Source organism: Homo sapiens, chromosome 10, assembly GCF_000001405.40.
Source record: "Homo sapiens chromosome 10, GRCh38.p14 Primary Assembly".
Taxonomy (NCBI): domain Eukaryota; kingdom Metazoa; phylum Chordata; class Mammalia; order Primates; family Hominidae; genus Homo; species Homo sapiens.
The window spans coordinates 12,468,282-12,496,138 of NC_000010.11; the positions used below are offsets into that span (position 1 = coordinate 12,468,282).

At 47.8% G+C, this 27,857-nt stretch overlaps 1 protein-coding gene and 1 long non-coding RNA gene across 8 annotated transcripts in view, besides 4 other annotated features; both read left to right on the top strand.

Moving 5' to 3' along the window:
• Positions 1–27,857, top strand: part of CAMK1D (calcium/calmodulin dependent protein kinase ID) — a 485,999-nt gene that overhangs the window by 118,735 nt on the left and 339,407 nt on the right. The window lies entirely within an intron of this gene.
• LOC107984209 (uncharacterized) lies at positions 5,127–8,830 on the top strand. The gene is made up of 2 exons (XR_001747366.1): positions 5,127–5,529; positions 8,507–8,830. It is a non-coding gene; the product is annotated as an uncharacterized LOC107984209 (long non-coding RNA).
• Positions 14,143–14,749: an enhancer, noted in NCBI's record as "OCT4-NANOG hESC enhancer chr10:12524423-12525029 (GRCh37/hg19 assembly coordinates)". NCBI's record gives its function as "activates a minimal SCP1, AML or CMV promoter by ChIP-STARR-seq in primed H9 embryonic stem cells {active_cell/tissue: H9 hESC(primed)}" and the evidence as "EXISTENCE:reporter gene assay evidence [ECO:0000049][PMID:30033119]".
• Positions 16,778–16,827: an enhancer, noted in NCBI's record as "active region_3043". NCBI's record gives its function as "activates an Ori minimal core promoter by ATAC-STARR-seq in GM12878 lymphoblastoid cells {active_cell/tissue: GM12878}" and the evidence as "EXISTENCE:reporter gene assay evidence [ECO:0000049][PMID:35858748]".
• Positions 16,878–17,137: an enhancer, noted in NCBI's record as "active region_3044". NCBI's record gives its function as "activates an Ori minimal core promoter by ATAC-STARR-seq in GM12878 lymphoblastoid cells {active_cell/tissue: GM12878}" and the evidence as "EXISTENCE:reporter gene assay evidence [ECO:0000049][PMID:35858748]".
• Positions 21,343–22,303: an enhancer, noted in NCBI's record as "H3K4me1 hESC enhancer chr10:12531623-12532583 (GRCh37/hg19 assembly coordinates)". NCBI's record gives its function as "activates a minimal SCP1, AML or CMV promoter by ChIP-STARR-seq in naive H9 embryonic stem cells {active_cell/tissue: H9 hESC(naive)}" and the evidence as "EXISTENCE:reporter gene assay evidence [ECO:0000049][PMID:30033119]".

The following is a 27,857-nucleotide window of genomic DNA, read 5'->3' on the forward strand; positions in this document are numbered from 1 at the left end:
AAACGCCTGGGCTCAAGCAATCTGCGTGCCTTACCTTCCCAAAGTTCTGGCATTACAGCCATGAGCCACTGAGCCCGGCCTCAAATATGGTTTTTAAAAGCAATTTTAAAGTGGTGAAGTATGATTGGAGAAAATAAAAGCCATGTTGTGGGCCACAGGGGCGGAGGTGGAACTAGAACTTTCTGGGCATTTGTTGGGATGCTGCTGGTTCCCAGGTGCAGAGGAGAGGTGAGTTTGGAATGATTGGGGGTGTCCCTAGTAGGGGAGGAAAGGTTGTCCTGGAGTGGCATGGCATGGACAGTAGTAAAAAGACTCCTTCACAGCCCCACACAGGAGCACTGCCTGTGTTCTCTGGGGAGGGGCCAGCCCTCTGGTGGGGGCCCTTTGTGCCTATAACCCCCCATGACCCTGCCCTCCAGCCCATGTGATGGGCGGACGTGGAGTAGTTTAGGCTTGTCAGGGGCTCTTAAGTCTGATCTGCACCCAAATCCCTGACCACACCTTCCCCCTTCGGAACTAGAATTTCCAGAAGGTTTGAGAAGAATTAGCCTCTGTCTTTGTCATCCTTTCCTTTCATGGGGTTGTTTTTCTTATTGGATTCAGGCAAGCAAATAATTAGGTCTTGGAGGGCTGGGGGTGCTTCTTTTTATTCATTATTTAGCAGCCTCTTTCTGGTCCCAAATCTCATCTGCCCTCAGCAGTCTACATAGCGTCCTGCCCGGGCAAGGTGGGGGATTCACATGGATGGAAATCAAGTGAACGGCTCCACAGGGAGAGATTCTGAGGGGATGGAGACCTGTAGCTCCCCGGATAAAGAGGAAATGGGGTGAGGAGAGGAGGGGGGCGGTGCTGTGTAGGGCAAGGAGCCTGTTGTATTCTGGGACCCTTGAAGTCCATGCCTGCTGAGCTTAAAGGGTCTCCTCTGAATGGGAACATGGCCTTGTTTCTATTTAGGGAGAGAAAAGCCACCCAGCATTTCTATAGTCTTGAATTAGACCCAGCATTCTAGGTTAGAAGGTAGAGGTTCCCCCGCCCCCCTCCCCTTTTCATATAGAATTAGAAAATATCTGGATTTCAGCCCATACAAGGTGCTCATGCAATTAACCCTTTCTTCCAAGCGAGGCCTTCCCTGAGAGGTGTGCAGATGGCAATATATTTACGGCTTCCACTGGGGCATAACCAAGAAAGGGGACATCTGCATCGTATTCTCTTTCTAGGTTTGCCGTGCTCTGCTACAGTCATGGCAAATAAACAACCCACCTTCCCCAGGAATGACTAATTCATAAACACATAACTACACAACTACAGCTTATGATGTGGAAACCTGGATAGCTTATTTCCGGGAAAAGCTAATATCATAAAAAGCTTTTGTAAATGTGTTTATTAGTATATTATTTCATAAGCTTTTAAGAATCCAATTTTAAAATGTGCACCTTCTGGAGAAAACAATGTTATATTTTACTTGGAGAACACTTTAGTGGAAATGACCCTTTCAAAGGATTTGGTAAATGCATGTGTTAGATTCATCTTTTCAGTCATTGTATATAATCAGTTCTTTCAGAACCTTTTTTCTTCCTGGCTGATTGTTTTTTTTCCTGTTGTCACTTTTTTGGTGTGTTAGGGTACCATTCTTCTTAAGTATCGAACACTTTATCAGGGCATATTCTGATAGTTATATAAATGGGAGAATACCAGACAGAAGGATAGTGAATATTTGCTTGATTGCTTTAGATTTTTCTTTGGACTTGAAGATATGTCTAAATGATTTCAAATGTTCATTTGTTAATAAACAACCAGATTGTTAGGTTTTTCAGATTGTCTCAAAAATGTCCATGATTATATAAATATAGCTAGCCTTGAGGTCTGCATTTACCTCCTGGATTTCATAACAATTCTCTATAATGCTTTTGAAAACTTTGGCTTTCTATATGGTATATTTAGGGCAGCTTTTTTAAATTTAGGAAAGTGTGCCATGCCATTCCTTTGTATGATATATAAAGACTTGACCAGGAGTATAAAAATCAACTCTAATCCCACCACTCAGAAATAACCACTGTGAGATTTTTTATGTATTTTCCAGACCTTTTCTGTGCATAGTCAACACAATTGCTTTTGTATTGTGTGTTGTTTCTTCCCTTTTCCACAGAGTGACATATCTTGGGCATTTACCCATATTGTAAATTTTTCACTAAAATCCCTAAAATACTGTGTATGCTTCTTCTTCTTCTTTTTCTTCTTCTTTTTTTTTTCTTCCAACATGGAGTCTCGCTCTGTCGCCCAGGTGGAGTGCGGTGGCGCGATCTCTTCTCACTGCAACCTCTGCCTCCTGGGTTCAAGCGAGTCTGCTGCCTCAGCCTCCCGAGTGGCTGGAATTACTGGTGCCTGCCACAACACCCGGCTAATTTTTGTGTTTTTGGTAGAGATAGGGTTTCACCATGTTGGCCAGGCTGGTCTTGAACTCCTGGCCTCAAGGGATACACCCACCTCCGGCTCCCAAAGTGCTGAGATTACAGGCGTGAGCCACCTTGCCCGGTCGTGTGTGGTTTTTGAATCCCAAGAAACCATGGCTTGAGGTGTGCTTATGGCCCAGTGTACTGCCACCACCTCTGTACTAAACCAAGCCACCTTGTGTGTGTGTACGTGCGTGCGTGCGTGTGTGCGTGGTGGGGCTGTGCTCCAGGAGCCCTGGTTGATTTGCCTTCTTTTTGTTAGAGCCGCTTTATGACTTCCCCTCTTTCTTTTTTGCTCCTTTTCCTCCTTCCTCCCTTTGTGTCTTTTTCCCACATTATTTTCCTCCATGCTTTTTTCTAGTTCTACTTTCTTGTGTGCCTGTATCTGTATCGATCTGAAGCTTGAGGCTGAGTGGCCACTACTGGTGACTGATTCCCCCACCCCAGCGCACATGTTCACTGCAGGCTGCAGGAAACAGGCTTTGTCCCACTTTCAAAGTGGGAATCAGCCCTGCTCTGGATCAGCCCCTGGTCTGGATCAATGTGTCTGGGTCCATGTGGGAGTGGCTTCCTCTATGGTTCTCTTTCATGTTTACCTTTGGGCATGAGACCCAAATGCTGTCTGTGTTGACCGCTGACTGTAAACAGCACCTCGTTCAAGGTGGTGAACCTGTTTCTTAGTGGCCAGGGTAGGGCTGGCTGTGTGCTGGCTGTGTACACATCAGGTGACCATGTGAACCGTGTCCGAGGTCCTTTGACTAGAGCTCAGCAGCCTAAAACCTGAGGAGGAACAGGGCAGGAGCTATCCAGGTTGACAGGGTATTGGCCAAGGGCCTTTCAGCTCATTCCTTCCTGAGAATCAAGAAAGGCAGGGCTAGAATGCCTGCCCCTTCACTCCCACCCCTCCTGGTTCTCCACTGAGCTCCCTGCCTGCAGAATGGATCTGATTTCTTCCTTTCCTGCGAGCACTATTTATTCCTTTCCTGCTAAGGAGAGATATGTTGAAAAAGCTGTCTCTGGCCAGGTGTGGTGGCTCATACCTGTAATCCCAGCACTTTGGGAAGCCGAGATGGGAGGATCGCTTGAGCCCAGGAGTTCAAGACCAGTCTGGGCAACATAGCAAGACTCTCTCTCTACAAAAAAATACAAAAAAATTAGCAGGGCTTGGTGGTGCGTACCTGTTGTCCCAGCTACTCTGGAGGCTGAGGTGGGAGGATCACTTGAGCCCAGGAATTTGAGGCTGCATTCAGCTATGATTGCACCATTGCACTCCTGCCTGGGAGACAGAGTAAGACTCTGTCTCAAAAAAAAAAAAAAGAAAAAGAAAAGAAAAAGAAAAAAGGAAAAGCTGTCTCTGAGTTTGACTTGATTCCTGTTTAATCTGAGATGCGTCCACCCTTAACCTTCTCCTTTGTCGAGTTCACAGTCACTTGTAACTCTCTTTACTAAGGTGTGGGGACACGCTGAGACACAGCGATGCTCTGCCTTCATTTCCCCCTTGCCTGTCTGTGTTTTCATGTCTAAACTTATCACGAGCATGTATAGGTTAGGCCTGGTGAGCTCTGTAGGCCTCAGATGGTCCATGTCCCATATTCTGCTTGCTCTTCCTCATGTGCCTTGAGCTTCTTTCCTTCCTGTGATTCAAAACCTTGCTCTGCTTCTTCTCATTCGAACACATCCCTTCTCCCTCTATGCAGGGAGGCCTCGCTTGTTGGGTTGTTTCTTGTTTTTTCCTCTCCCTTCATCCCTAGTCACTGTCTCACTCTTCAGTTCGGCACTCAATTCATTCAGCTTATTTTATTTTATTTTTTGAGATGGAGTCTTGCTCTGTCACCCAGGCTGGAGTGCAGTGACATGATCTCGGCTCACTGTAACCGCCTCCTGGGTACAAGCGATTCTCCTTCCTCAGCCTCCTGAGTAGCTGGGATTACAGGCATGCGCCACCCCGCCTACCTAATTTCTGTATTTTTAGTAGAGATGGGATTTCGCCACGTTGGCCAGGCTGGTCTCGAACTCCTGACCTCAGATAATCCACCCGCCTCGGCCTCCCAAAGTGCTGGGATTACAGGCGTGAGCCACCGCGCCTGGCCTCATTCACTCGGCTGTTATTGATCATTTTCTATATGCAGGGCCCTTAACTTGAGGCTGCGAGTACAGGGATGAGTGGCTCAGTTCTTGCCTTGCAGGAACTCGCTGCTCCTTACCCAGGGAGCCAGGGAAGCTGAAATATCCATGTGGGGATTGCTCTGAGGTGGCCAGGATGAGCAGAAACACAGAGGAAAGTGAGCGTATGCCTGACCGGAAGTCAGGAAAGCTGTAGATGGTAAACAGATGCCTGTTAGAGTTTGCTGGGCCAATGTGGGGCAGGAGGGGAGAGGGTGCGCCAGGTGGAAGCAATGGTGGATGCAGAAGCTGTAGGCACAGACAGGTGTGGCATGCTGGGGCACAGGCCAGCAGCGATGTCATGTGGGAATCCAGGGGGAGAAGTTGCACTTGGAAAAAGTAGGCTGTGGCCACATCGTGAAGACCTTTGCCTATCAAAATCATAACAATAGTGAACTGAGGCTGGGTGTGGTGATGTAATTCCAGCTACTCGGAAGGCTGAGGCAGGAGAATTGCTTGAACTTGGGAGGTGGAAGTTGCAGTGAGCTGAGATCACACCACTGCACTCCAGCCTGGGTGACAGAGCGAGACTCTGACTCAAAAAGAAAAAAAAACTGTAACAATAATGAACCCTTTCATAGTCCTTATTATGTGCAAGGTATTGTCTGGTATTTCGTAGATATTAATTCACTCAATCCTTATAACAACTGTAGGAGGTAGGAACTGCTATTGTCTCCATTTTACAGATGGAAGAACTGAGGCCAGAGAGGCTGAGATTTGTTGAGGTCACCTGGCAGCAGGCTGTAGGGCCAGCTGCAAGCCCGGGGAGTCTACACTGGTGACTAGATGGCGGAGTCGGCTCTCCCAACCGCCCAGCTGCTGCTCTCACACTCTAGAGTTGGACTTGATCCTGCGAGCATTGCAGAGCCATGGAGAGGTGTTAAGTAACAGGGAAAAGGATCTCAAATTTGTCAAGGTAATTCCTTATCCTGAGAGACACATGGAGATTTGAACCAGGGAGACTGCTAGGAAGTCCTCTGCAGTTTTTGTAGGGGATTCTCATGGAACTTTCTTTTAGAACCTCTTTCTTACAATTGTGAGTACTGAAAAGGCAATTCTGGAACCTATTTTTAAACCCAGGATAGTTAATAACAAAACTAATGGCATTTAATATTTGAATTAAGTCATATGTTGACAGGATTTAGAGTCCCCTTGGACTTCCTTTTTACTTCTGGGTCCAGTGGGAGGCTGGTGGTTCCACCAACAGTGCCTTTGGGAGTCAGAGGAAGAGGGGAGGGGCAGGAAGCAATAGGCTAGACTGTGTCACCATGTCCCTAACTGCTACCTCTTCAATGAGGATCGTTCTTTTTTTTTTTTTTTTTTTGAGAGAGTCTTGCTCTGTCACCCAGGCTGGAGTGCAGTGGTGCAATCTCGGCTCACTGCAAGCTCCGCCTCCTGGGTTCACACCATTCTCCTGCCTCAACCTCCTGAGTAGCTGAGGAGCCCACCACCACGCCTGCCTAATTTTTTATGTATTTTTAGTAGAGATGGGGTTTCACCGTGTTTTCCAGGATGGTCTCGATCTCCTGACCTAAGAATCCGCCTGCCTCGGCTTCCAAAAGTGCTGGGATTACAGGCGTGAACCACCGCACCTGGCCCGAGGATGGTTCTTTAACCATCCTATTTATTGTGTTAAAACATTGCATAACATAAACTTTACCATTTTTAACCATTTATTTGAGGTAGATATTATTATTTTTGTTGTTTTAACTTTTATTTATGTTCAGGGAGTTGTACAGGTTTGTTATATAGGTAAACTCATATCATGGGGGTTTGCTGTACAGATTTTTTTTATCACCCAGGTACTAAGCATAGTACCTGATAGTTATTTGTTCTGAGTCTCTCCCTCCTCCCACCCTCTACCCTCAAGCAGACCCAGTATCCGTTGTTCCCCTCAAGGTGTCCATGTGTTCTCATGATTTAGCTCCCACTTATGAGTAAGAACATGCAGTATTTGGTTTTGCGTTCCTGCATTTTTTTTTTTGCTAAGGCTAATGGCCTCCGGCTCCATCCATGTTCCTGCAAAGGACATGATCTTGTTCTTTTTTATGGCTGCATAGTATTCCATGGTGCATATGTAACACATTTTCTTTATCCAGTCTGCCATTGATGGGCATTTAGGTTGATTCCATGTCTTTACTACTGTGAACAGTGCTGCAGTGAACGTAGCATGCATGTGTCTTTATGGTAGGATGGTGCACATTCCTTTGGGTATATACCTAGTCATGGAATTGCTGGGTCGAATTCATTGTAATCATCTTATAATGTGCAGTTCGGTGGCATTGAGTACATTCACATTATTGCGCAACCATCACCACCATCCATGTTTTGAACTCTTCCTATCTTGCAGAACTGACACTCTGCACCCATTAAACAACAAGCCCCCCATTCCTCCTCTCCCCAGCACCTGGCAGCCACCATTCTGCTTTCTGTCTCCACGAATTTGACTACTCTAGGGATCTCATATAAGTGGAGTCATACTGTATGTGTCCTTTGTGTCTGGTCTGTTTCACTTAGCATAATGTCCTCAAGGTTTGTCCATGTTGCAGCATGGGTCAGGATTTCCTTCCCCATTAAGCCTGGGTAATATTCCACTGTCTGGCTGTACCACCTTTTGTTTATCCATTCCTCTATCCATGGGTACCCGGGTTGCTTCTACCTGTTGGCTATTGTGGGTAATGCTGTTGTGAACATGAGTGTACAAATATCTGTTTGAGACCCTTCCTGCAGTTCCTTTAGGTCTTCTGTGAGTTCTTCACCCCTCCTAGGTCTGAGTTTGGGAACTAGGATTAGTTCGTTGATGGACATGGAAGTTGCTTCCTTCTCCCCTTTTTTTGCTGCTGTGTCACATGAATCATATGCATATGATGTTAGAGATGGACTTCAGAGGGACTGTGTTCTAGAACTGGTTCTCCTCGCACTTGTATTCAATAGGAACCACAGTGAACATAGTTCATGCTAGAGGCATGGCTCCCTGAGTGATGGCGGTGCTAGAAGAGTTGACAGGAGAGGGAGGGGTGGGGAAAGTGGTGATTTGAGCGCAGCGTAGGAAATAGACATTATGGGAATTCATCAGTTTGCACTAAATGGTGGTACATGAGGAAGAGAGAAGTCTAGGCCGGGTGGGGTGGCTCATGCCTGTAATTCCAGCAGTTAGGGAGGCCGAGGGGGGGCGGATCACGAGTTCAGGAGTTTGAGACCAGCCTGACCAACATGGTGAAACCCCATCTCTACTAAAAATACAAAAATTAGCTGGGCATGGTGGCACGTGCCTATAATCCCAGCTACTCAGGAGGCTGGGGCAGGAGAATAGCTTGAACCTGGGAGGCGGAGGTTGCAGTGAGCCGAGATCACACCACCGCACTCTAGCCTGGGCAACAGAACGAGACTCTGTTTCAAAAAAAAAAAGAAGTCTAGAGTGAATCCCAGATCTCTAGCTTGGGTGACTAGATGACCATGAACTAGGATGTCTGGAAAAGGGGGAGGGTGGGTTGAGAGACCACAGAGCATGCATTTATTTTAGGGCACCCCAGAACAGGGGAGGAAGCCCCTTGGGATCTACAGACGATCTGCAGGGTAAAGATAATTACAATGTGACTATAAAATGAAGCTGGAAAAATGAAATAAAGATACCGTATAATGAGTGTAAATTTAGATCCTTACTCAGCGAAGATCATTATATTTCCTTACAAAAATTTCTCTTATCATGTCGAGATTTTTTAATTTCGGGAATCTGGAGTGGGGAGGGTCATATGTTCCTGGTTTGTTTCGAAGGTGACAGATGAAACTGGGAGGATAATTTGATATTAAATGTGATAAGTATTTCCACCTCTTTTCTTACCCTACTTTGAACTTGAAGTTGGGATTAGTCATGGCAGCTTTTCTCTTACCAGCCCTTCATCGTCTGGCCCCATAAGTCCCTTCTCAGCAGGCCTGCCCATCTGTACACTGGAGGAAACCCAGCTCTCCGTTCTGTCTGCTCCAGGTCCTGTTATGTGGGATTGGAGTGAAGCCCACAGTTAGAGGAGTGGCTGTTACGGGAAAGACAATGAGTTTACTGGCAGGTAACTTGCTCTTGTGCTGCTGTTGGAATATCCAGGCAGAGTTATGTAGGCAGTTGGGTGGAGAGGTCTGATGCCTAGGATGGACCTGAAGCTTGAGGGATTATGGAGTCATCGCCAATGCCCGGGGCATGGGATTGTCAGAAAGAACGCAGGTCACAAGAAGAAGAGAAGTCCTGGCTAGGTGCGGTGGCTCACACCTGTAATCCCAGCACTTTGGGAGGCCGAGGCGGGCAGATCACTGGAGGTCAGGAGTTCGAGTCCAGCCTGGCCAACATGGTGAAACCCCGTCTCTACTAAAAATACGAAAATTAACTGGGAGTAGTGGTGGACACCTGTAATGCCAGCTACTTGGGAGGCTGAGGCAGGAGAATGCTTGAACCTGGGAGGCGGAGGTTGGAGTGAGCCAAGATCATGCCATTGCACTCCAACCTGGGTGACAGAGCAAGACTCTGGCTCAAAAAAGCAGAAGATTGTCCTCTTCATTGTTTACTCCTGTGTCCATCTGAGATGACTGGGGAAGACGAAAGGGGCACGATTAGGAGGCGGAGTCTCCCCTGGAGTGTGGTCCCATTCTACTCTCTTCATAGGCACCACTGCAGACTCCAGAGCAGGAAGAACGGGATTTAGGTAGACAGGTGAAGGGGCTGGAAGAGACAGGACGATGTGTGGTAGTCACATGGGCCAGGGAAGTGGAGCCCACAGAGGAGACTGTGGAGGGAGGGGCAGGGTGTTCAGATGAGAACCAGGGCAGACGGTGTCTTGGAAGTCAAGGGGGAAGAAGCTGAAGGCGGAGGGAGTGCTCACCTGTGCGATGCCAGAGGGGAAAGGTGATTGACAAACATCCACCGTGTTTGGCTGCGGGGAAGCCTTCGTGACCTCTGCCATCGTTTCAGGCAGTGGTGGTGTTGGATCCCATGGAATCCCGTATGCTTTATTCCAGTCTTGTAGATGGGATTCTTTCAGCACATTCTCTCCTTAGTTCCTGAATTCTAGATGCTGTCCATCTGGCTATTATGCCTCTTTATATCACCTTTTCTTTTTTTCTTTTTCTTTTTTTTTTTTTTGGAGACAGAGTCTTGCTCTGTCACCCAGGCTGGAGTGCAGTGGTGTGATCTTGACTCACTGCAAGCTCCGCCTCCCGGGTTCATGCCATTCTCCTGCCTCAGCCTCCTGAGTAGCTGGGACTACAGGTGCCCTCCACCACGCTCTGCTAATTTTTTTGTATTTTTTTAGTAGAGACGGGGTTTCACCGTGTTAGCCAGGATGGTCTCGATCTCCTGACCTCGTGATCCACCTGCCTCGGCCTCCCAAAGTGCTGGGATTACAGGCGTGAGCCACTGCACCCAACCTGTACTTATTTTTTGAGACAAGGTCTCGCTCTGTCACCCAGGCTAGAGTGTTGGTGTGATCATGGCTTACTGCAGCCCCAACCTCGTGGACTCAAGCAATTCTCTCACCTCAGCCTCCTGAGTACCTGGGACTACAGACATGTACCACCATCCTGTCTAATTTTTTTTTTTCTATTTTTTGTAGAGACAGTGTCTCTTTATGTTGCCCAGGCTGGTCTCAAACTCCTGGCCCCAACGAGTCCCAGCATTTATAGGCATGAGCCACTGCCCCTGGCCTGTCCTTATTTTAACAGTAATACGGGGTGCACTTTTATTTCCTGGAATTCCAAATCCAAGGTACTTGAGGAGTCAGAGTTGGTGGGGATCTCTGTGGATCTTGAAACTTGGATCACAGGTAACCTGGACTGGCGACCCCAAATCCTGAGGAACTGTGAGTTTCCTGTCTCTTGGGCACTGTGCAGTAGGATCTTAGCCTCTCTCTCATGCTCTCCTTTAAACCGCTTCCCTGTTACAGATTCCATCCTCCCCGCTGTTTCTGAGTTACTGCTGTTTGGTAAATCTGTTCTGCTGACATGAATGATAATAATAGTCATCGCCACAGCGTCCTGAGCGCCTGCAACGTTTAGGGCCCTCTACCAAGTGTTTGACGTATTTTCTCCTTTAATTCTTACAATAGCCTTATGAGGTGCGCCCAATTAACTCTTTTTTTATGAATGGGGGAACTCTGACTCAGAATCATTTTAGTAACTTTTTTGGGAGCCAATGACTCTCAAACTTGAAGATGCATCATAGTCTCCTGTGGAGTATGTGAAAACGGCTCCTGGCCCTGCCCACGGCGCTGCTGAGCCAGTGGGTCCCCAGTGACGCTGGAGAAGCTGCATTTTTTTTTCTTTTTTTCTTTTTTTTGAGACGGAGTTTCACTTTTGTTGCCTAGGCTGGAGTGCAGTGGTGCGATCTTGGCTCACTGCAACCTCTGCCTCCTGGGTTCAAGTGATTCTCCTGCCTCAGCCTCCCGAGTAGCTGGGATTGCAGGTGCGCACCACCACGCCTGGCTAATTTTTTGTATTTAGTAGAGATGGGGTTTCACCATGTTGGTCAGGCTGGTCTCGAACTCCTGACTTCAGGTGATCCATCTGCCTCAGCCTCCCAAATTGCTGGGATTATAGGCGCCAGCACCGAGCCCGGCCGAGAAGCTGCATTTCTAACAAGTTCCCCAGCAGTGCTGCTGCTGCCGCCGCTGCTGTGGGGACCATGCTTTGAGCAGCTCTGTGCTGAGTCTCCCACTCAGCCAAGGGGCAGGACAGGGACTCTCACCTGGGCCTGTCTCTCGCCCCACAGGTGTGCTCTGGCCTTTAGAGTATGTACAGCTCAGGAGCCCGCAGCAGAGGGAAGCCTGTCACTGCCCAGGAGGCACGGGTAGGTTCAGGAGAGCGGCTCTTCTTTCTTCTGGCTGGGATCCTGGCATGCATGGGTGTACCAAGGCAAAGGGACGGGGCAGGAGGAGGAGCCGAGGGAGTGCATTGTCTGTGCAGAACTTAAAGCAACAATAAAATCCACTATAACGCAGTCTGCTGCTTATTATCACTGTGTCCACAGTTCTCAACGACGTCCTGGATACATGCTCTGCTTTCTGCCCCCCCAAATGCCACTTCCTGGCAGCCAAAGACTAAAAAAAGGCCTAAGCACCCCTTCATTGTTGGGGCCCTGGTAAGCTCCAAATTCAGTGACCTTGTCTTCTGCTTCTTGTCTGTTTCCCACACATCTCTGGTCACTGGGTAGGGGCTTGGTCCACACCTGCTTGGCAGATCCTTCCTGTTTCCTCTAGTTGTTGATACCAAAATAATCTAATTTAAAATACTTGGCCGGGCTCGGTGGCTCACACCTGTAATCTCAGCACTTCGGGAGGCCGAGATGGGTGGTCAGGAGTTCGAGACCAGCCTGGCCAACTGAAATCCGGTCTCTACTAAAAATACAAAAATTAGCTGGACGTGATAGCGCACGCCTGCAATCTCAGCTACTCGGGAGGCTGAGGCAGGAGAATCACTGGAACCCGGGAGGCGGAGGTTGCAGTGAGCCGAGATCGCGCCACTGCACTCCAGCTTGAGCGACAGAGCAAGACTCCATCTCAAAAACAAAAAACAAAAAACAAAAAAAAACCACTCAAGGAATAAACAAAATCCTATAGAGCCATTATTTGCTAGGTACCTCTAATAGCAATCCCTTTGATAGCACTTGCTGTGTGTCCGTTAGGGTCTAACCACTTGGGCTCAGATGATCTTGTTGACTTCTCACAATAACCTCGTGGGGTGGGTTCTCTTATCACCCCCATGTTACAGAGGAGGAAAGGGAGGAGCTCAGAGTTTAAGGGACTTGCCCAAGGCCGTGTAGGTGATGAGCAGGCAGAACTAGGATCCCCACTTAGGCTGCCTAGCCCCAGAGCCCATGCACCCAACTGCTAGGTTCCACTGCCTCTCAGGCATAGAGTTGATGTTTAATAAGTGCACATTGGATGGCCACATGGAAACGTGTAGATATATGAGATGCAAGCATGAAACTGCCTTTGCAAAAATTGTAACAGTGAGAAAAAATAAGACAGTGAAAGAGATCGGATCTAACCAACTGCCATCTTGCCCTTAACCTCCAACAGCCCTTGGTCATTCCTGGGCTTGGGTCAAGCTAACTTGGGGGGAAATTTAGTTTATAGTTTAAATGATAATAGCCTTTCCCCCAAACTGAGCTGCTTTTATAAAACTAATGAAAGGCCACCAGGTTAGGAGGATGAGAGGGGCCTGAATTCTACTAAGACGTGGGCATAATTAAATTGTTACCAGCCATTATTCCAGAGATCACAAGATTTGCAACTTCCCCAATTACTCCTGTAAATAACATCACTATTGTGGTGTTAGAACCCAAGATGGGCCTTTTGAGATGTCTTTTCCACCTTTTGCATTTCTGATGACCAGGTGGCCCCACCTGGACCCTCAACTCTTGGCTCAGCCAGTCCTGTGGCCCCACCTAGAAAGGGACTCAGTACACCAGGACCATTTTCCAAACCCCTATGATTGCATTCCCAGCCAATCAGCAGCACCCATTCCCTTAGTCCTTGACCCACCAAACTATCTTTGAAAAACCGTAGCCTCTGAGGTTGATTTGAGTAATAACCTGTCTCCCATGTTGTGTGGCTGGCCTTGTGTCAATTAAACTCTTCTCTTTTTTTTTTGAGATGGAGTCTCGCCCTGTTGCCCAGGCTGGAGTGCAGTGGCAGGAACTTGGTTCACTGCAACCTCCGCCTCCCAGGTTCCAGTGATTCTCCTGCCTCAGCCTCCTGAGCAGCCGCGATTACAGGCGTGTACCACCACGCCCGGCTAATTTTTATATTTTTAGTAGAGACGGGGTTTCACCATGTTGGTCAGGCTGGTCTCGAACTCCTGACCTGGTGATCTGCCCGCCTTGGCCTCCCAAAGTGCTGGGATTACAGGTGTAGGCCACCACGCCTGGCCTAAACTCTTTCTTGTTGCAATGCCATGGTCTCAGTGAATTGCTTTTGTCTGTGGAGTGGGCAGGAAGAACCCATTGGGCAATTACAAGCAGCCCAGGGAGCTCGGGCCTGCAGTCAGAGCTGGACACTGTGTGGATCACTCACGATGCTTAATAATTACTCTCCATCAGTCTGCTTAGAATGGCAGCAAATCCCTTCGTGATCCATCACATCTTTCTTGCAGGCTGGTGCAGTGTTTACCTCCACTGTAATGAAATGTGTTTCCCTTGAGGGGGTGGTTATTGGTATTTATAGAGCATCTTATAGCTGAAGAGCTCCAGAAGCAACAATTACCTCTTTAATCCTCTTAGCTTGTCTCTGAAAAGAGGGATGTGAACCGTAGCATAGTGCTGGCTCCTGCCTCCTCTCCTTTCTTCACCCCACCCCTGCCCACTAGAGTTTGCAGACTGTGCCCAGCAGCACTTTGGGAAGCTGGGGGTGGTTCTGGAGGGAATGAGGCCCTTCCCGCAGGTCACCTTTGGAGCTGGGTGGAGATGTAGGGCCACTTAGGGGACCTCCAGGTCAGCGCTTGCATCCACTTGTTTTATAACACCCGGTAGCCAAAATGGAGAAGTAACTTTCTTCCTGCTAAAGAAATCTCACCGGCCACTTTCACTCTTTATGCTCCAGGAAAGAAAGTTGGAATAATAGAATTTTTTTTTCTCTCGAAGCAGTGAATTCTTCTGTCTTGGGAGCCAGATTCAGAGGAATAGCAGAGAAAATGAAAAAGGATGAGGCCTGGGAACCTGCGGAACTTTTCCTGAGTGCTAATGGGTTTTTTCCCCCATATGCGTGTATACGTGACACACACATTTGCATTGATACCTACTGGGCCAGCTTGATGAACAGCCTGTGGCTGTGACTGTCTTTTGTTATGCACATGTAATTGCATTTAGTGGTAGCACCTGAAGATAGACTGCCAGGCGATAGGGCTAATTTTGGTCTCTGAACTCACCAAAGGGATGTCACGACGGTGCTGGAGAGCTCCTTGTTCACAGCCGCGCTTTCTGTTACTAAGGGTGGAAGAGACCTCCATAAATAACATTGCCGCTGCCGCTGTGGTTCAGGACGTTTTCAGATGGTAGGATCTCATATTTCAGGTGGTTAATAACCCTTTCCCTGCCCACATTACGGTGCTAGCTAAGTGTGCAAAAGAGATAATATGGTTAGAAAAATACTCATTTCTAGATCCCTGTTCCCATTTTTCTTTCTAATCTCTCATTCTAATGCCCAGCTTCCTCCCTGCCCTGCATTGCTGTCTGGGTGGACCTGGGTGTAGCCCCTATATTCTACCCTGTGGGAGACTCCATTCTGTGTTTGTGGAGCATCATTCAGTCTCATGCTTTATATTTTAATTTAATTTAATTTTTCTTTGAGACAAGGTCTCATTTGGTCACTCAGGCTGGAGTGCAGTGGCGTGATCATAGCTCACTGCAGCCTCAACCTCCTGGGCTCAAGCAGTCCTCCACTTCAGCCTCCCAAGTAGCTGAGACTACAGGTGTGCACCACCACGCCTGGCTAACTTTTGCATTTTTTGTAGAGACAGGGTCTTGCTGTGTTGCCCAGGCTGTTCTTGACCTCCTGGGCTCAAGCAATCTGCCCGCCTTTGCGTCCCAAAGTGCTGGGATTACAGCAGTCTCATGTTTAATTTTTCTTTAATTTCTATTTTTTAAAAATTTATTTATAAATTTTATTTTTTGTAGAGATGTGGTCTTGTTATGTTGCTTAGGGTCATCTCAAACTCCTGGCCTCAAGTGATCCTCTCGCCTGGGCCTCCCAAAGCAGTGGGATTACAGGCTGGAGTCATCACACCTGGCCTCTAAAAAAAGAGATCCAATTTTAATTTTTTTTTCCTTTTTGAGACAGAGTCTCACTCTGTTGCCCAGGCTGGAGTGCAGTGGCGTGATCTCGGCTCACTACAACCGCCGCCTCCCAGGTTCAAGTGATTCTCCTGCCTTTGCCTCCCTAGTAGCTGAGATTACAGGCGTGCACCACCATGAGCAGCTAATTGTTGTATTTTTAGTAGAGATCAGGTTTTGCCATGTTGGCCAGGCTGGTCTCAAACTGCTGACTTCAGGTGATTTACCCACTTCGGCCTCCCAAAGTGCTCCCAAAGGCATGAGCCACTGTGCTTGGCCTCCAGTTTTAATTTTCTTAATGAGCTGATTTTATAGCTGGTGACCCGGTGACTTCATGGGGGTGTGAGGTTGGTGCCCGCAGCCACAATCCTGGACTCGTAGAAGGCAGGCTTGGGTGGCGTTCCAAATGCTTCACTGCGCGCATCCAAGTGTCTGTCACCCATGAGCTTTGCAATAAGGAAGACATAAATATGCACCAGCTGGGCTCTGAGCTCCGGCTCAGCCTCCTCCCTGCTTTCAGCTTCCCACCGGGCATTGCAATCCCTGCTTCCGGCCCCGCCTGCTCTGCGGCTGGCAACACCAAGTCGCCATCTCTCTTCGTGTTTCACCTCCAGATACAGGAAAACGCGTGAACTCTGTGTTTGGAGGGAGGAGGGCCAATTACAGGAGATCCTGGGCTAAAACAGGAAGAAGAAACATGATTAAGGACTTTAAACAGGGATCACACAATCGTTCTTCTGCCTCCTTCCCTGCAGGAAGGCAGAGATCGGAGATGGAGAGCTGTCATTATCCTCCTTAATTATAGGAGAGAGCAGAAGTTCTTGGAAACACCAGCCAAGTCAGGGAGCCACTGGCAGCTGAGCTTACTTGTTCTTCCAAGATGGTGGAAGCCAGGCAGGGAAATAGCTGCGGGGAGGGTGAGCTCATTCACGGGGACCACTCAGCAGTGGAAGCGATGACGTCCCCTGGCCTCAGATGTGGAAAGTGTCTTCCAGGGGGCAGCTCGTGGAGGAGAGCCTAGCTTGTGGCTCTCTTGAGATGTTCTCCAGGTTTCTAACATGTGGCATGTGACTCCAGTGGAGAGGCCACTCTGCAGCTGCTCCTGTGGGCACAGTGACTCTGGGGGGGAGGGGGTGGGGCTGGGCTGGGCGTGTCATGGGAGGGCAGGTGTGATGACCAGGAAGCAGGGGTACCTCATGGTGTGCCCCGCAGAAATCTCTGCCCTTACTGGCTTCTTCCCTTCTCCTCCTACCCCAGGCCTTTTCTGTAATGTCACCGATTACCATCTGGTGTGGAAAGATTTGCTTTTCAGATTGGTGTGCTGAGCACAGCCGGACAGAGAGGAGGCTTTCGGGAAGGAAAGTCGCCTTCACGTCTTGCATGTTTTCACCGCTCCCCATACGGGTATTTCTAAGCAAGAATGCACACGGGCCTGAAATAGAATGCATTAGTAAGTGTAACCGAGAGGCGAAGTGTATTTTTAGCGAACATGGCTAAGGCAGATTATTACAGCGAGTGAGTGAGACCGAGCTAGGGGAGGAGGAGCTCCTGGGGTAGAGAGACGTGGCTGCCTCTCGGCTGTCCCTGGGGAGCAGAAGGACTGTGGCCAGTGGTGGCTCCTGGGATGGTCAGAGCTTCCTGGGGATTCTTTCTGGTTGTGGAGCTCCTCGTGCCCCCTGTCGTGGGGGAGGGAGTAGAAACAGGCAGCACAATGGTGGTGAAGCTTGGGCCCCAGGTTCAGTGGCGAGGTGGCCCCAGCTGCAAATGTGTCTGCTGCCACCTGCCTGTCCCAGGTGGAGGAGAGGGGAGGGCTGGTCACAGGGAGCCGGTGGGTCTGCAGGCTGCAGAGGCACTGCTCGTTGGGCCTGTAGGTGCTTTGGGAGTCCTGGAAGGGAGGGTGGGGCTTCGATTGTGACTACCAGATTGTGGCGTCTCTGCCACACCGCTCAAAACTCTAATTCAGCTTCTTTATCTGCAAACAGGAAATGTTAACGTTTTCTCGAGGAGTCATGAGTTCAAACAGGGTCACCGATAAGGGAGGGTTGGAACTTTCAGAAGAAAATTGCTAAATATGCCAAGATGTCATATTATTTTTTTCCCAGCATATTAACTAGGGCTTAAGACCTGATAGCCCTGTGAGTATGCGTCTGTCTCTTGTAGCAGCGCTGTTCGCTTAACAGAGCCAAATTCAGCCCAGAGTGAGTCTTTGGTGTCCATCCCAGGCTCTGGCTACCATGTCACCCAGACGGCCTGATTTGAAGGCAGTTTCCTTCCCAGGGACCACGGCAGAGTGCCACAAGATTAGCAGAGAGTCTCGTCTCCAGCTTGTTGACGTACGCTACAGGTCTTGGGATTTGCCAGCATCTTATAATTTTGTACAATAAATGAAGCACCCATGCAGTGCACACACACACGTACACATGCTATTAATTCTATGAGTCTTGGGACTTGCCAGTCTCTTTTTTTTTTTTTGAGACAGAGTCTCGCTCTGTCACCCAGGCTGGAGTACAGTGGCACGATCCCAGCTCACTGCAAGCTCCGCCTCCCAGGTTCTGGCCATTCTCCTGCCTCAGCCTCTGGAGTAGCTGGGACTACAGGTGCCCACCACCACACCTGGCTAATTTTTTGTATTTTTAGTAGAGATGGGGTTTCACTGTGTTAGCCAGGATGGTCTTGATCTCCTGACCTCGTGATCTGCCTGCCTCGGTCTCCCAAAGTGCTGGGACTACAGGCATGAGCCACTGCACCTGGCGGGGACTTGTCAGTCTCTTATAATTGCTTATGATAAATCATGCACCATGTACCCACGTGTGCATGTGTGCGCGTGCACACACACACACACACACACGTACAGACACTATTAGTTCTGTTTTTCTGGAGAACCCTAGTACAACTATCTGCTGAGTAAACTCCTTCTTTGTAGCCCAGCCAAAATGCCAGCTTCTCTGTTACAAGATTTTATAAAAAGGCAGCAATGAAGCAGAGCCGTGGAATTTGGGGTCTCTCTCAGTTTAATCTTTGTGTTACAGGCAGTGAGCCAGAGGCTTACAGCCCCGAGGGGCCCACTTTTAAAACATTTCATGCATTACCAGGCACTGTGGTTCATGCCTGTAGTCTCAGCTACTTGGGAGGCTGAGAAGGGAGGATCACTTGAGCCCAGGAGTTTGAGGCTGCAGTGAGCCATGATCGCACCACTACACCCCAGCGTGGGTGACAGAATGAGATCCTGTCTCTAAAAATGTAAAAATAAAAAAATTCACACATAAAACAAAACTGGGCAAAAGGAGAAATTTAGGAGCTAATTAAAAGAAAAAAAACACCTTTTATTTTAGGTTCAGGGGTACATGTGTAAGTTTGTGATATAGGTAAACTCATGTCATGGGGGTTTGTTGTACAGATTATTTCATCACCCAACTACTAAGCCTAGTAACCAATAGTGATTTCTTCTGATCCCCTTCCTCCTCCCATCCTCCACCCTGAAGGAGGCCCCGGTGTCAGCTGTCCCTCGCATTATGTTCATATGTTCTCATCATTTTAGGAGCTAAATTTTTTCATTAAAATAGGCTTCTCCTCAAGGTCTCTTTATCGGGTTTCCTCTTTTATATGGAAAATTTTGATTTATGTGAACTCTTCCAGGAATACATGGATTATTTCAAATGAACTACCCCACACTTCTTCCAGCCTCTAATTCATAAAATTGAGTGACCTTATTGATCAATTCACAAGGCTTATAATTTGATGACTTATTTCATGGACTGTCCTCTAACAGCTAACATGGACCTGGGAGTTGGCCTGTGGCAGAGACAGCCTGAGTTGATTTGTACTTTTGTTGATTTGAGTTTGATTTTATTGGGTTGACTCCAAAGTCATCCTTGAATCCTTTTCAAATCAATGCCTGCAGCGAGCTCAGCTCATCATTGCAATGCCACAGATCCCAGAAGAAAGGTGTCACGTAACTGGAATCACTTCTTGTGGATCCTACAAGGGGCTTTTGTCCTCAGAAAGATGCAGTCTGTTCTGAGGAGTCACTGGGACTGTGATTTTTCTGTCTGTTCTAACAGCAGAATGTTGGTTCTCTGTAGACCCTGAGGAGTATTCAGCAAATGTCAATATTAGCTGAAATGGGAAGTGTGGATTTGGGACAACAAATTACCTATAGCATAAAAATACCTATTTAATACATGCTTGTTAAATAGACATGGGTTCATGGCTCCTCCAGCCATGTTGAAATAAGCTTGGCATTTCAGGATCTCAACAGAGCAACTTCACTTGATGAACACAAGCCTGGGAAATACGAGGGTATTTCCTAAAGTGCCAGGAAACCTCTTTTCCAAGCTCCACTCCCTTCACAGCCATCATTCCCTCTAATTCTCCCAACCCCATTCACTCTAAGTAGAAGAGACTGCTAACAACTTGCTATTGTACTTCACAGAGTTGGAAGTCTGGGTCAAGTTTCCAGTGTTGACTGTTGAATGGGTGCAGATTTTTTTTTCTGAGGATGGAGGCCTTCCAAGCCCCCTGAAATCGCAGAGGTGGGTGCCCAAATCCCAGATGTGATGGTGGTTAACACTCAGTGCTTCCCCTGTGCACCCTGGATGAGTATAGTATGAGGAAATGACTATCTTTAGAGTGTCTTCTGCAGGGCACAAAATGAGGGGTTGATTCCATGGATCAACTCACTATGAACATAAGCAGTGACTCCAGTTAGTGCAGATGGCAGAGGAGATTTTCATGAATACAGACTGTCTCCCTCAGTGGTCCCCAACCTTTTTGGCACCAGGGACTGGTTTCATGGAAGACAAATGTTTCCGTGGACTGGGATGGGGGATGGTTTCGGGATGATTCAAGCACATGACATTTATTGTGCACTTTACTTCTGTTATTATTACATTGTAATATATAATATATAACGAGATAATTCTACAACTCACCATCATGTAGAGCCAGTGGGAGCCCTGAGCTTGTTTTCCTGTAACTAGACAGTCCCATCTGGAGGTGATGGGAGACAGTGACAGATCATCAGGCATTAGATTCTCATAAGGAGTGTGGAACCTAGATCCCTCGCGTGCGCAGTTCACAATAGGGTTCATACTCCCGTGAGAATCTAATGGCGCCGCTGATCTGACGGAGGCGGAGCTCAGGCGGTGATGCGAGGGATGGGGAGCGGCTGTAAATACAGATGAGGTTTCGCTCACTTGCCGTCCCCCTCCTGCTGTGCAGCCTTTTATTTATTTATGTATTTATTTTTTGACATGGAGTCTCGCTCTGAGGCCCAGGCTAGAGTGCAGTGGTGTGATCTCGGCTCACTGCAAGCTCCGCCTCCCAGGTTCATGCCATTCTCCTGCCTCAGTCTCCCGAGTAGCTGGGACTACTGGCGCCCGCCACCGTGCCTGGCTAATTTTTTTATATTTTTAGTAGAGACAGGGAGTTTCACTGTGTTAGCCAGGATGGTCTCGATCCCCTGACCTTGTGATCCGCCGGCCTCGGCCTCCCAAAGTGCTGAGATTACAGGCGTGAGCCACTGTGCCTGGCCTGTGCGGCCTGGTTTCTAACAGGCCACAGACTGGTATCGGTTTATGGCCCGCAGGCTGAGGACCCCTGGTGTCGAGGGCCTGAGAACATGTGCTTAGAAATGAAAAGTCAGCAGTGAGCCCCTGAAGCCAGGCAGGAGAGGAGGCTCAAGAGGGAGGGAAGGATCTCAAACATCCTGGAGAGTTGAAGAAAAATAAAGACTAAAAAGTGTCCCTTGGATTTAGTGACAGTGAAGTCATTTGTGCTTCCATAAGGATCATTTTAATCAAGCGGTAGGGAAGCAGCCCAGTGGTGTGCTGGTAAATGTTTAACAACAGGCTCTTGGGGTGGCCTTGGGAGGAGGGAGAAATACAGATGGAGCTTCGCTCGTTTTCTCCCTGCTTACTTCTGTGCAGCTCGTTCCTAACCGGAGGTTGGGGATGCCTGGTTTACACGACATAAATGAATGGGATAACTTCCACCTTTGCCTTCGTGGTAGTTATGCTGGACGAGCCCTTTCTCCCCTCTGTTTAGTCTCTTCCACCATCATTTCTGAGCTGTTATCTGCAACTCTCACAGAAGTTTGCCTGAGGTGGACTCTCTGGTGTCAGCGATTGCTTTTAGGTGAAGCTGGTTCTGCAGGGACCACGGGCTGATGTCCCTGCAGCTGCCAGACGCCCCGACACCTCCGAGTCTGCATTCCGGCATTCAGCCCGAGAGGAATGTGTTGCTGGATGTGATGTTCCCTGGCTTGAGGGAGCGTGGGGCAGGTGTGAACGGGGCAGGCACACTCACGGGTCTGGGCTCTGGATGTGTTGGTGGCTCCTTGGCTGGAGCAGGGGAGGGCAAGGGTGCCACGTGGGTGTGTCTCCAGCCACTGCTGTGGGGAAGGTTTTCCTGGGTGCAGTCTCCGAGGGCCTCTGAGTGAGAGCAACTCGCCCCCTCTACCCAGCCCTGGCCTCTGCTGTGAAGCCTTACTTGGGCCTGGGAAGTCACTTGTAGGGTCTTCCCCTCCTGCCTGAGGACATTGTTTTGAGTGGGATAAGTGTGAAACAGCGAGACTGTTCTTGGAACTGTCATTAAAGCTGGCTGCTTGCAGGGCGCTGGGACGGGGTTATTCTGCTGCCCAGGGATGTTAGGTCCTGTGGTGTGGAGGGGGAACTGGGGGACTGGCTCCCCAGCTTAATGGGAAGACAGGATAGTGATATGGGAGAAAGAGGTATTCTGACAGAGGGCGGACAGAGGAAGGGCATTGAGAAAAAGTAGCAGAACATTATTACTTTCTTAAAGTGATAGAATTAGGGCAGTCTCACTGATATTCACTCTATAACGAAAAGAAAAACCACAAAGAGGCTGGGTGCGGCGGCTCACGCCTGTAATCCCAGCACTTTGGGAGGCCGAGGTGGGCCGATCACCTGAGGTCAGTTCAAGACCAGCCTGGCCAATATGGTGAAACCTGTCTCTACTAAAAATACAAAAATTAGCCAGGTGTGGTGGCACATGCCTGTAATCGCAGCTACTCAGGAGGCTGAGGCAGGAGAATCGCTTGAACCCAGGAGGCGGAGGTTGCAATGAGCCAAAAAGAAAAAAGAAAAACCACAGAGAAATGGCAAATGTTTGCGCGTGATAGATATCCTAAATACGCTGATTTGGTGATGACATACTGTATGCACACATCAGAATATCACACATGCCCCATAAATATGTCCAACGATTAGGTATCCATAAAAAGTTATTCTTAAAATGTTAATGGAACAAAACAATTTCCAGAAATAAACTCATGTATAGGTGGGAATTTCTATGAAGGAAAATAAGGAAAATGGTTCTGTGCAGATGCTGGGGATTTGAGAAATGCTGATTTCTGTGTTTTTGCCAGAATCACCTGGCCCCATGCACACTTGGTTGTAACTGCATCACTGGAGGGTATGAGAGTATGTGTGTGTGTGTGTGTGTGTCTGCGTGCATGTGTGTGCAGGTGTTTGAAGACAGAACCTCAGGCTTTGCTAGGAAATCCCTGGGAACATTTGGCTGTGCTGTTCTGCTGTGTAACTGATGGTGATTAATTGAGTTCATTGGGCTGGATGTGGTGGTCTTCACACCAGTGACAGAGGTTGAACCAGGTGATAGTGCTTTTGCCAGAAGCACCTGTATTTATTTTATTAACCCCTTTTTATTATTAGAAAATGACTGCTGCCTCATAGTCCAGGGTCATTCAAAAAATATTTTTGGAGGTGATACAAAAATAAGGAAATGTATATATATTTTTTTGTTGTGAGGGGGTGGGTGGATGGGAATTTCCTTGTATGAAAGAAAATTCTACCAGAATAGAAGATCCTGTAAGTCAGCCCTAGGTGTCCTGTTGAGCTGCAGGCAGTGGGCAGGTTGTGCCTGCCTTTCCTCACCTATGAAGCGGTGAAACACCTCCCAGTATCGCCGAGAGGATGAACTGAAATCATGAGCATTTCCCGCAGAGTCTGGCACAGGAAGGCCGGCCGCCGATTGCTAATTGTTGATAAAGTCATTAAAAGCCCTGTAGCCACGATTCTCAGTCTCCTTCTGTTTAATGAATTTCTTTTTTTTCTTTGTTTTTGAGACAGAGTCTCACACCATCACCCAGGCTGGAGTTCAGTGGTGCCATCTCGGTCACTGCAGCCTCCATCTCCCGGGTTCAAGTGATTCTCCTGCCTCAGTCTCCCAAGTAACTGGGATTACAGGCATCACCACCACACCTGGCTAATTTTTTATTTTTAGTAGAGATGGGGTTTCACCATGTTGGCCAGGCTGGTCTCGAACTCCTGACCTCAAGTGATCTGCCCACCTCAGCCTCCCAAACTGCTGAGATCACAGGTGTGAGCCATCGTGCCTGGCCTGTTTAATGCATTTCTGACTGGAGGCTTAATTTTTTTGTTTTTTTCACAGGGTCTCTTTGAGAGGATGACAGTGGGAAGTGCCTACTGTGGCTGTTGCGGCTGCAGGCCTGGCTCCTTCCACTCTCGGGCTGCCCTTCACGGTGCCAGGTTTGTGGCAGAGCCTGAGCCGCCATCATGGTGAAATTCTGCTATTGCCGCCATGGACAGAGAAATCAAACCGTGGGGTTCTGCTTACTAGGAAACTGGAGTAACACCTCATCTCAAAAAAAAAAAAAAAAAAGAAAAGACTGGGTGCAGTGGCTCATACCTGCCATCCACTCGCATGCTTTTGGGAAGCTGATGTGGGAGGATCGCTTGAGCCCAGGAGTTTGAGACTAGCCTGGGCAATATAGTGAGACCCTGTCTCTACAAAAAATACAAAAAATTAGCTAGATGCAGTGGCACACACCTGTAATCCCAGCTACTTGGGAGGTGGAGGTGGGAGGATTGTTTGAGGCCAAGAGTTTAAGACCAGCCTGGGCAACACAGTGAGACCTCATCTCAAATGAAATAAAATGAAACTGTAGTAACAAAAATGCACGCACAGCCACTGTTTGACAGTCATGGTATCACATGGTGACACTCACCATTTAAGGGCCACAGGACCCGAGGGCAGATTCTCACCACCCCAAGGAGTCAGTTGTGGGCTCCCCACCACACCTGTATGTGTGAGCCTCCAGGCTGGTAGCTTGAGGTCCCCCGAGCTGTACACAAGAACGGCTGCTCCTTTGCTGTAGGTGACTGTCTGTCGTTACTTTCTTGGTATAGGATTGTTCATCTTTGGGACTGATTTTAAAGTCCCACTCCCTCTGTCTCTGGCTGATGGTGGATGCCCGGCTTCCCTGGCTCCGCTCCTGTGCTTCACAGGCTGTCAACCCTGGAAGGTGCAGGGTACTTTTATTCATGGATGAAACCCTTGCACACTTGCTTTCTGTACTCTTGTTGATAACAGGGCATTGTGGCATGTTTACTGAGCCAAGTAGGCAAATCTTTTCATGACACGGTTTCTAGAAACAACCCTCTGCGGTCACCAGTCTGTCCCTCAGGCTACCCCAGGACAGGTCTTGCTGGTGTGTCCTATAAGAAGTGGTGTTGTGGCTAGCGAATGATTTCTATAAGGGTTGAGGAGCGCAGACTGAAGTGTGAGACTGGGCAGGATTACCTTTGGGGTGCTCACAGGGCTCCTGGGGAGATGTGGCCAGCATCAACAGCCTTCCACCTTTCAGCGTGCTGGGGCAGGAAGGAAACTTCCATGATCGCTGAGTCCATGTTCTTAACCTTTTAATGTCTGAAACGTCAGATGGAAGCTGTGCATCTTCTCACAAGAAAATGCATGTATACACTCATGCCTGCAATTTTCTTTTCTTTTTCTTCTTTTTTTTAATTTGAGACAGAGTCTCTCTCTGTCACCCGGGCTGGAGTGCAGTGGCGCAATCTCAGCTTACTGTGACCTCCACTTCCTGGGTTCAAGCGATTCTGCTCCCTCAGCCTCTCGAGTAGCTGGGATTACAGGTGTGTGCCACCACGCCTGGCTAATTTTTGTATTTTTAGTAGGGATGGGGTTTCACTATGTTGGCCAGGCTGGTCTCGAACTCCTGACCTCTGGTGATCTGCCTGCCTCAACCTCCCAAAGTGCTGGGACTACAGGCGTGAGCCACTGTGCCCTGCCTGCATATCTGTTTTTAGTTATCTAGGTTATGTGGGGTGGGATCAAGTGGATTGCAGCTGAGCAGCCACAGGGAGGTCACAGTGGATTTCTGTTGGAAGCCTCTCCTCTCACCCGAGATTTAGAAGGACAAATGGAAAGTGCTTGTTGCTTTAAAATGTGGGGATTGCCATTGGACGGAGGTGAGGGGAAATACGCTGGTGGATGGAAGAAGATCATAGGACATTTCTGCTGGGACTTGAGACCTGGGTTAATGTAGTGAACATCTCTTGAGTGCAGTGCTGGTGGAGGGGGAAATTCTGAGCCTGCCGTGGTTCCCAAAGGAGTCATGAAAAGCCCAGCAACATTGGGTGTCTCACGTCTGATGGGTGTTGTGTCATTATTGACAAGAAAAAATCTTAGCCATTTATATTATAGTCCATCAGAGGAAGAGAAATGCTAGAAGAAGCTTAACTTTAGTTATAGAGCCAGATTATCTGTGGTGGATTATCTATGAAAAATGTTGAATCCCAAGCCAGGTTCTCTCTGTATTTTGGTACACAGCTTATTTTTAGCCATTTTTCTTTATCAAATGGTGTGTAATTAGGAAATGCATGCTAATTTTTAATATTAATGTTACACACACACGTACACACACACACATATATACTTATATTAGGAAATCATAGATAGGAAGATAAATCTGATGTCCCCAACCCTGCATTTCAGTTTAGTGCATCATAAAGCCAGATATTTTTGTGTCCATTTCCTATTTGCTTTTGCCTTGAATTTTCTTTCTTTTTTCAGTTTTTCGAGACAGAGTCTCACTTTGTTGCCCAGGCTGGAGTGCAGTGGTGTGATCTTGGCTCACTGCAACCTCTGCCTCCTGGGTTCAAGCGATTCTCCTGCCTTAGCCTCCTGAGTAGCTGGGACTACAGGCATGTGCCACCACACCTGGCTAATTTTTTTTTGTATTTTTAGTAGAGATGGGGTTTTTCCATGTTGGCCAGGCCGGTCTCAAACTCCTGACCTCAGGTGATCTGCCCACCTCGGCCTGCCAAGGTGCTTGGATTACAGGCGTGAACCACTGTGCCCAGCCTGGCCTTGAATTTTCTTGTGACTTTTCACCATGATTGGTTTGGTTGACTAAGAACTGAGTATCTCATTGTTTTGGATTTGAGATCTAGTGATACAGCTGATTCTAAACGAGATCACTGCGGTCAGAGAGGCTCAGACATGGACTTTCTTCTCATGGAAAACCTTCTTATTGAGAATTAAAAACACCGCTATCAAAATCGTTCAATTAAAAAGAAAGGTGGACTGTGAACTTCTGGGCTGTGAACTTGTGGGCTGTAAACTTAGAATCTGGTTATTCCAGGTGAATTCTGAAGCAAGCACATCTTGTCATTGTTGTGAATTTCTCAGAACAAAAATGTGTTGCCTCAGGTAAAGCCCGTACCATTTGTGCAAAAGGAAAATGGCTTCAACTTACTTTTTAAAAAAAACTTTCAGATTCAGGCGAACATCCATTTCTTCTAATGAGTGTGTGTGCAAATGACCTTGTCATAATGCAGGATATAGTGATAGCAATTGTAGTGAGTCTTTAGAATGAGCTAAATGTTATCAAGGGATGTTTCCAGTTAGTTATAACCATGATATGCCTTTTCCGATGATCTAAGACACTTCTGTTTTAATAGGTCAGTTTTTTTCCAGTTTTAAAAAATTTTAACTGAATTTTTAAATTCAAAGACTCTTTTCTCATAAATGGCACAAAACATTTAGCTCTCTAAGAAATGCAGAATCCCAGAATGGTTCATGTTTGTGTATTGCTCATTTAGCTTTCGACGTCCTTTGGAAAGTTGAGGAATAAACAGGTGGACAATTTGAAAGGATGAAAATACTCCAACAGGTTACACTAATAGAATCAGGAAGGAAGAATGTCCAACAGGAGTCATTGTTGTCTGTTGAGGATTTAGTGGGTGAAAGATTGAAAAATTGGAAATACATATTCACCTACTATTGGTAAAACTTTTTTCCTCAAATATTCCTTTATATGTATATATTTTTTTTCTTCTTGAGACAGGGTCTCACTCTGTCACTCAGGCCGGAGTGCAGTGGCACTATCTCAGCTCACTACGACTTCTACCTCCTGGGTTCAAGTGATCCTCCCACCTCAGCCTCCTGAGTAGCTGGGGCTACTTGTGTGCGCCACTGTGCCCTCTATTTTTTTGGTATTTTTTGTAGAGATGGGGTTTCACCATGTTGTCCAGGCTGGTCTTGAACTCCTGAGCTCAAGCAATCCTCCTGCCTCGGCCTCCCAAAGTGCTGGGAGTTAGCCCACCGTGCCCAGCCTATGTGTGTGTTTTCTT